The sequence below is a fragment of the Homo sapiens genome, chromosome 2 (assembly GCF_000001405.40).
Source record: "Homo sapiens chromosome 2, GRCh38.p14 Primary Assembly".
In the NCBI taxonomy this organism is placed as follows: Eukaryota; Metazoa; Chordata; class Mammalia; order Primates; family Hominidae; genus Homo; species Homo sapiens.
The window spans coordinates 216,607,956-216,617,243 of record NC_000002.12 but is presented as its reverse complement, the minus strand read 5'-3'; the positions used below and the strand labels follow the sequence as shown (position 1 = coordinate 216,617,243).

Sequence of the window (9,288 nt, the reverse complement as noted above, 5' to 3'; positions counted from 1 at the left end):
TCACTTTCTGTAAAGTGTTTCTCCCTCTCCTCTCAGCAACTTGTCACAGTGCAACTATTTCTATCTCTTACATTGCTGTTTCTCTCTGTCACATTGTAGCTTATCTTGGGGTTGGTCTCTCTCTCTCTCTTTCTCTGTGTTCTATGACTCTTTTTCCTCCATTGTTATTATCTTCATCCTCCCACCACCTCCTGATCCCCTGAAGGCCTGATCCACTAAAGGCCTCCTTCTGTGACCCAGCCCTTTCTTTCTATAGAGCAGAGTCCAAGGTGACTCTGCTATAATATAATAATAATCAGTGGCCAAGGGACTCTAAGGCAGGGGTGTCCAATCTTTTGGCTTCCCTGGGCCACATTGGAAGAAGAATTGTCTTTAGCCACACATAAAATACACTAACACTAATGATAGCTGGTGAACTAAAAAAAAAAAAATTGCAAACAAATATCATAACGTTTTAAGAAAATTTACGAATTTATGTTGGACTGCATTCAAAGTCATCCTGGGCCGCAGGTTGGACAAGCTTGCTCTTGCTGTAAGGTATCATTGTCTGGGGGTTGGGCAGAAGGGAGGTTTTAGAGGGTCACAATGAAACCTCTACCACAATTGCACTAGACACACACACACACACCTACACACCCACCCACACACACAGGAACACACACTGCATGGCTAGGGTGCAGCATTGGGCATCTTGCCGATACTTTCAAAACTGTGCCTTCTGCCCAAGAGCCAGAATGCAGAATCAATAATTATTTCTATCCACATCTTTACAAAATAGTAAACAACCCTGAGGCTTAGCCAATCAATGACCTCAGTTCCTGCTCTTTGTCCAGAATCCTGCTCTCTGGACTTTCACTGTGTAAGGGGCATTTGAGTTGTAACCCAGAAGAACTCAGAGCTCGAAACAACCAGAACAAGCACAGCACACTTTAGAGGCACTTACTGGGGAGTCCTTATCCCAGCTCTGCCAGATAACCTACAATGTGACCTGTTTTGCAAGTCATCAAACTGTTAGGAGCCTCAGTTTTTGCATCTGCAAAATGGAGTAAGAACACCTAGTTCATGAGGCTTTTGTAAGGATTGTGTGGAATCGTTCTTGGAGGTTTCTGGGAGGATGTCTGACCCAAAGAAGGGATTCAGGTCAATGTTTGCCAAACCTGGAGTCGGATCTTTGCTGTGGACATTTGCCTCTTGGAGCAATCTCTTGACTTTGAGAACTCTGATCCACGATATGGGATGCCCTGTGTTCTTTAAGACCACCTGATGGCACCCTGAGTCTGGTCTCTCCTTCCCTGGGCATAGCAGTTCCAAGGGGACCTACCACGTGAGAGCATCACCCTTGCATGGAGACCTTCACCTTGCATTGTGCCATCTGTCACTGCCTGCCCATCCGACTTGATCCTGGCTGTCTGGAACAAGACCTTCTCTCTGGGGAAAATATTATTGTTTTTTTTGGCCACTTGTTTGATCCTCCAGAGTCAATATTTGCAGCGATAAGCACAGTGTGATGTAGCCAGTGGAGTTGTTTATAACTCTGCCCCTCTCCTATTGGGTTCTGGTTCCTTCTGGGCCACACTGTGAGGTGAGTGGGTGTGCATTTCAACAGCAGTGGGTCCTGGTACTCACCAAAACTGCTTTGGAAGAATATGGAAGAGGAGCTGGAGTCTGTTTGCTCCTGTCTCCTGAAGGTGTGCCCTCAGCCTACGCTGAATGCTAAGCAGGAATTTATGTGACCTTCCCAGGAAGCTGGCCTAGACGCCTTTCCCTCCTAAGCCTTTCTTGTAACACAAACCTCAGGGCTGCCCCAGTCTTCTCTACTAGATAGTGAGATCCCAGAGGAGTCTTTCTATAAAAATAAGATTTTCTGTTTCCACTTCACATAAAAATGCCTAGGGAGGTTTTCCACCCAGTTTGGAGGGCTTATTTCAAATGATTTGACTTAAAATACAGGCTATGAGGAGTGGGCAAAACTCCCTTTGAAGTGGCCCATAGGAGAGTACCCCAAGGGCTGGAGGGGTGGCCATTCTCTGGAGAGTGTGACTACTCGGGATACCATGAGAGGCCACAGTGACATCTGATTAGGAGAGACAGGCTGCACATATTAATCCATGGAGGACAGAGGCGACAAACATGGTTTCAACTGTGAGCTCCAAACCAAAAGTGATGAGGCCATGCATTCAACAATCGTAATTGAGCTGCTTCTCATATGGGCAACTCTATATGCCTCTAAGAGAGTAGAAGCAAGGATGGATATTTTTTCTTTTCTCTCTTTTTTGTTTTTTTGAGACAGAGTCTCACTCTGTCACCCAGGCTGGAGTGCAGTGGGGCGATCTCGGCTCACTGCAAGCTCCGCCTCCCAGGTTCACGCCATTCTCCTGCCTCAGCCTCCCGAGTAGTTGGGACTACAGGCGTGCAGCACCACGCCCGGCTAATTTTTTTTTGTATTTTTAGTAGAGACGGGATTTCACTGTGTTAGCCAGGATGGTCTTGATCTCCTGACTTCCTGATCCGCCCACCTCGACCTCCCAAAGTGCTGGGATTACAGGCGTGAGCCACCGCACCTGGCCAAGGGTGGATTTTTTAAACCATGGGTAATGGTTTTCTGGAGAAATACAGGCAGCCTGGCTAGCTAGTAATAATAATAATAATAATAATAGTAATAGCAACAACAAGAGAGGAAGTGGAGGAGGAATAGGAAGGAGGAGAAAGAAGAAGGAGGAACGGAACAGTGGCATGGCTGGGTAGTCCACTATGTGCCAGCCCCTTAGCAAAGTGATATCCAAAAGTGATCTCATTTAATCTTCAAAAAACCCCTACAAATCAGCTCTTATCATCTCCACTTTTCAGGTGAGGAAAGTGATGCTCTGAGAAGTTAAAGCTACTTGCCCAAGGTCATGCAGCTTACCAAAAGCAGATACTGATACGGTTTAGCTGTGTCCCCATTCAAATCTCAACTTCAATTGTATCTCCCAGAATTCCCACGTGTTGTGGGAGGAACTCAGGGGGAGGTAATTGAATCATAGGCCTCATCTTTCCCCTGCTATTCTCGTGATAGTGAATAAGTCTCACGAAATCTGAGGGGTTTATCAGGGGTTTCCGCTTTTGCGTCTTCCTCATTGTCTCTTGCTGCCGCCATGTTAGAAGTACCTTTTGCCCCAGCACTTTGGGAGGCTGGGGTGGGCGGATCACAAGGTCAGGAGATCAAGACCATCCTGGCTAACACAGTGAAACCCCGTCTCTCCTTAAAAAAAAAAAATACAAAAAATTAGCCAGGCATGGTGGCGGGCGCCTGTAGTCCCAGCTACTCGGGAGGCTGAGGCAGGAGAATGGCGTGAACCCGGGAGGCGGAGCTTGCAGTGAGCCGAGATCGCGCCACCGCACTCCAGCCTGGGCGACAAAGTGAGATTCCGTCTCAAAAAAAATAAATAAATAAAAAGAAGTACCTTTTGCCTCCCGCCATGATTCTGAGGCCTCCCCAGCCATGTGGAACTGTAAGTCCAATTAAACCTATTTTTCTTCCCAGTCTCGGGTATGTCTTTATCAGCAGCATGAAAACGAAGTAGTACAGATACTGAGTGAGATTTTCCTGACCTTGATCAAGAAACGTTCAGCAAATCCATTTTTGATGAACTCATTATTGTGCGCTGTGGACAGTTGAGCCCTTATTGTTATCCCGCACTTGCCACTTCCTTGATTGTTGTCTCTGCCCTTTGAGGCAATGAGATCCTTTGTATCCTCCACTTGACACATGCTAGGTCCCGGTACAAGTTGGTCAAATGAATCAAGATGACTGATGCCTTACTTAGTCAATCAAGGATCTGAGATTGACATAAACCTGCCCTGAAGCTCTTGGGAATTTTTGAAGCATGCATGCATTTTGGAAGCAATTGCTACATGCCAGGCACAATTTTAGTTGCTTGGGATACATCAGTGAACCAAACGGACAATTCCTCATGCTCTGGTTTAGCTTACAGGGGGAGGGAAGCAGCAGAAATGACTGGCGAACACTCTAAGAGGTTTCTGCTCACTGCCTTCTTATTGAGAAAGCAAGACTTTTCCCCAATCTGCTTTCCACATAGTAACCAGAGAAGATTCGTTTCCAAACATAAATGTGATCAACTCATACCCCTGCTTAAAACTCTCAGTGGCTTCCCATGGCTCTTAAGATAAAGCCCCCACACCTTAGACCTGCCTTCAAGGTCTTGCATAGGATCTCTGCTCCTGGCAAGCCTCATTCCACAGCCAGTTCCCCCATCATAAGCTCTTCCAGCCCCTCCCCTTTTACTATTCAACTCCTCCTTCAACTGTCTTTCCATGGAAGACCTGTCCTCCCTGCATCAAACTCTCCCTACCAACTCCATGGATCTGTCACACTTCTCATAGTTACAGCTTCACACTGATTTGGGCGAGTTTCTGATGAATGTGTGTCTTCTGTACTGAACTGTAAGCTCCTTGCACATAAGGAATGAGTCTGCTGCACTCCCCATCGTGTGTCCAGAACCTCACCAGGGCCTGGTACAACACAATGTGCTGAATAAATGTCTGACACGCCATCATTCTCTCCACCCCATACTGCCCATGGCCTTCTCATCTGATCTGTGCAAATCTCCTTTTTCCAAAGAATCAAAAGGGCTGGGAATCCAGAGCTGTGGGCAGGGTAGCCACAGCACCTAAACCTTCAATCAGGACTGTGGTCTCACAATGCGGGTGCATATAACAGGGCCAAAGACAGAATGGTTGACCTCAGACAGTCCAGGTCATATGGTTACTGCAACTGTGATGAGAAACAGAACCTAGGCCAGGCACTGTGGATCACGCCTATAATCCCAGCACTTTGGGAGGCCGAGGTGGGTAGATTACCTGAGGTCAGGAGCTTAATGCCAGCCTGTCAAACATGGTGAAACCCCGTCTCTACTAATAATACAAAAATTAGCCAGGTGTGGTGGTGCATGCCTGTAATCCCAGCTACTTGGGAGGCTGAGGCAGAAGAATCACTTGAACCTGGGAGGCAGAGGTTGCAGTGAGCCAAGATTGCGCCATTGCACTCAAACCCGGATGACAAGAATGAAACTCCATCTCCAAAAAAAAAAAAGAAAAGAAAGAAAAATAGAAGCCACTTCAGTGTGAAATGCTGGAGAAGGAATGGGACAAAATGAGTTTCTAGCCAAGCCTATCCCTAGGAAAACAGTGAGCAGAAGCCCTCCAGCTTCACAAAGCTTGGAGTTGCACAGCTAAGAGCTCTGTTCAATTTCACCTACTCATCTCTTTTTTAGAAGGGTATAGTACCGGACCAGGAAAGTTACTTTCTAATTGGAGACGTGATTTATTTATTCATCAGCATTGATTAAGCTCCTACTGTGGGCTGAGTTTTGAGGATGTAAAAGTGAGCTAGATTGATGCAGTTCTTGTTTTCAAAAATCTGACACCCCAACAAAGCAGGCAGGCCATGCAGGATTAGAGGGCATGGGCAGTGCTAAGGATGCCCAGGGCAGTGTGGCAGGGCACCTACTCAGCATGGGACGTGGTAGAGACTCAGGAACTGAGTTTAGAGGAAGACATTGCACAGGCTGGGAAGGGCTTTCCAGGCCATCAGAATGGCACAGCCAAGGGCATGGAGGCAACAGAGCTCGGGGTGCTGTGGCAACCACTAGTAGTTTGTGTTCCTGGAAAACTCCAGGGTAAAACTGGGAATGGCAGGCAATGGAGCTGGAGCAGTAGGGAGGGGGTGAGTCACAGAGAAATCTTAAGTCCTACTGAGAATCTCAAACTCTCTCATGTTGAAACAATAGAGCAGCATCGGAGGTTTTCAGCAAAAGAGTAAGATGGACAAAATTGCATTTCAGGGAGATCACCATGCTGGCAGAAAGGATCTAAAGGAAACCAAGGAGGGTCAGAGAAGCCAGTTAGAAAGCGGTGGCCATGTCCATGGAAGAGTGACAAGAACACGATCTCGAGTTGTAGAGGAGACATCATCAGAAAAGAGATGTTCAGGAAAGGTTTAGAAGCCGGCCCTTGGAAGAACTAGAGTATGGTGCAAACAATAACAACACTTTCCATTTATTTAACTTCTTTCACCTCCCAGACATTCTGGAGAACTTTTCTCTGTTATTGTAAATATTAATATTCATCCAAGTAGGTAGGGGATGCAGGATGAGTAAAGGCCTGGAATCTCAGGACCCTCTATGTAGAGTCTAAATGTCAGAAATGATGGGCAGGAGTGAAGGCTAGACCCGGTTTACTGGAATTGCTCCGGCAATGGAGGGGTCCTCGTATACCACACAATCATGTCTATTATGTCCTATAACGGAGGAGCCATCATGGCCATGAAGGGGAAGAACCGTGTGGCCATCGCTGCAGACAGGCACTTCGGGATCCAGGCCCAGATGGTGACCACGGACTTCCAGGAGATCTTTCCCATGGGTGGTTGGTTGTACATCGGTCTGGCCGGGCTTGCCACTGACGTCCAGAGAGTTGCCCAGTGCCTCAAGTTCCAGCTGAACCTATATGAGTTGAAGGAAGGTCAGCAGATCAAACCTTATACCTTCACGAGCATGGTGGCCAACTTCTTGTATGAGAAACATTTTGGCCCCTACTACACTGATCCAGTCATTGCTGGTTTGGACCTGAAGACCTTTAAGCCCTTCAGTTGCTCTCTAGACCTCATCGGCTTCCCCATGGTGACTGATGACTTTGTGGTCAATGGCAGCTATGCCGAACAAATGTACGGAATGTGTGAGTCCCTCTGGGAACCCAACATGGATCCAGAACACCCGTTTGAAACCATCTCCCCAGCCATGCTGAATGCTGTGGACTGGGGTGCAGGGTCAGGCATGGGAGTCATCATCCACATCACCAAGAAGGACAAAATCACCACCAGGACACTGAAGGCCCAAATGGACTAACCCTGTTCCCAGAGCACACTTTTTTTTTTTTTTGAAATAAAATTGCCTTTCTTTCAAAAAAAAAAAAAAAAGAAAGAAAGAAAAGAAAAGAAAAATGTTGGGCAGATGCTAATGCCAGCTGAGCTGAGATTGGGGCAGAGGAATGGAGTAGGGGCTGAAGTAGAGGATGGAAATGAAAAAAAGCATATCCCAACAGCCAGTTAAGAGAAGAATTGTGTTAGGGACTTTTTTTCTTTTTTTTTTTTTGAGATGGAGTTTCACTATTGTCACCCAGGCTGGAGTGCGATGGCACGATCTCAGCTTACTGCAATCTCTGCCTCCTGGGGTCAAGCGATATTCCTGCCTCAGCCTCCTGAGTAGCTGGGATTACAGGCGCCCGCCACCACACCCAGCTAATTTTTGTATTTTTAGTAGAGATGGTGTTTCACCATGTTGGCCAGCTGGTCTTGAACTCCTGACCTCAGGTGATCCACCTGCCTCGGCTTCCCAAAGTGTTGGGATTACAGGCGTGAGCCACTGCGCCTGGCTCTAGGGACTTCTTAAGAGTCCAAAATTTAGACAAGGGTTTGCAAACTCAGATGTCTATATGTACCAGAAAGGGAACATTAATCAGTTAGATAAGCAGAGAGCTGTGAGGATTCGTACATAGATGCTTCTTGACCATCAGGAATGGTGGGGACTGTGCCAAGGGGAGAGCTCTTGTGCCTCTGAAGGGGTCAGCTGCCACTCAGCTCCAGCTGATTGTGGCCTGGCAGGAATGAAGGTCCAAGGTAGCTAAAGGGGCTCATTTCAAAGCAAAATTAGTTCTCAGACTTTTCCATGAATTCTCTCAATTTGAAAGTCTTGGCAAGTAATTCGAAATTCAAAAAAGAAAAGAAAAACGTAGTACAAAGCACACCCAGCATGCTGATAAGCTAGATGTGAATATAGGATTGGTACTGAGTCCTCTGGCATAGACCTTTTTTTAACAGTAGAGGTATACGAAGGAAAGGGAGACACAGGCAGGGCACACCAGTGCAACCAGAACCACAGCTGCCTACCGGCTGACAAAGTGTGGTGTTGTCTGCTGTCCACCACGTGACAGGGTCTGCAACAACATCCCCTCCTAGAGTGAGGGAGATGTGTTAAGGTGTGAATAGTGGTTATCAGACATCAGAGAACATCTTCAGCTTTCCAGAAGCATATCAGGAAGGAGCATGTCCTACACTTTAAAGGATGCTGTAGCCCAGGTGTGGTGGCTCATGCCTGTAATACTAGCACTTTGGGAGGCCGAGGCAGGCAGATGACCCAAGGTCAGGAGTTTGAAACCAGCCTGGCCAACATGGCAAAACCCCATCTCTACTAAAAATACAAAAATTAGCAGGGTGAGGTGGCACATGCCTATAATCCCAGCTACTCGGGAGGCTGAGGCAGGAGAATCGTTTGAACCCGGGAGGTGGAGGTTGCAGTGAGCCGAGATTGCGCCACTGTGCTCCAGCCTGGGTGACAGAGCAAGATTCCATCTCAAAAAAATCAATAAATAAACATATTTTTTTTTTTAAAAAAGGATGCTATGAATAAGCCAAAAGCTTGCTGCAATTGTCAGAGGCATTCGAACAAGAGTGACTCCATCTTGAGTGGGGGCTGGGTAAAATAATGCTGAGACCTACTGAGAGGTCTCAAGAGGTTAGGCATTCTTAGTCACAGGATGAGATAGGAGGTTGACAGGACTGGTATCACAAGATACAGGTTATAAAGACCCCACTGATAAAACAGGATGCTGTAAAGAAGCCAGCCAAAACCCACTGAATCCAAGATGGCAAGGAAAGTGACCTATGGTTGTCCTCACTGCTCATTATATGTGGAAGTTACTCTATTTGGTCTAAAAAGGGGAGGAATCCTCAGTTTCAGGAATTGCCCACCTTTCCCAGAAAACTCATAAACAATCCACCCCTTGTTTAGCATATGATCAAGAAATAATCATAAAAATAGCCAACCAGCAGCCCTTGCGGCTACTCTGCCTATGGAGTAGCCATTCTTTTGTTTCTTACTTCTCTAATAAACTTGCTTTCATTTTACTCTATGGACTCACCCTGAATTCTTTCTTGCATGAGATCCAAGAACCCTCTGTTGAGGTCTGGATTGGGACTCCTTTACAGTAACACAATGACGCCCCACTGTCCCACATTTCTTTCTAATGGTCTGCCTTCTGCTGCCCTTGTGGAGTCCCGATTTTAGTGCCTATTTTGTGATTCTGGTTTTGTGGCCTTTCCCTCTCATGGCTTAACACCTTCTCTTCAGACCCCCATAACTGCCCTTGGCTTCCCTCATCAGCTCCAAGGGGGCCTCAGGGTGGACCCAGTGCTCGGGTCCAATGCAGAGATCCCAGGTTTCATCTTGTAGGTCC

At 46.8% G+C, this 9,288-nt stretch overlaps 1 pseudogene, besides 1 other annotated feature; it reads left to right on the top strand.

Annotated features, from left to right (window-relative positions):
- Positions 1,744-2,038: a silencer, noted in NCBI's record as "tiled region #7775; K562 Repressive non-DNase unmatched - State 23:Low". NCBI's record gives its function as "represses a minimal TATA promoter and a strong SV40 promoter by Sharpr-MPRA in K562 cells {active_cell/tissue: K562}" and the evidence as "EXISTENCE:reporter gene assay evidence [ECO:0000049][PMID:27701403]".
- On the top strand, positions 6,198-6,958 carry PSMB3P2 (proteasome subunit beta 3 pseudogene 2; annotated as a pseudogene).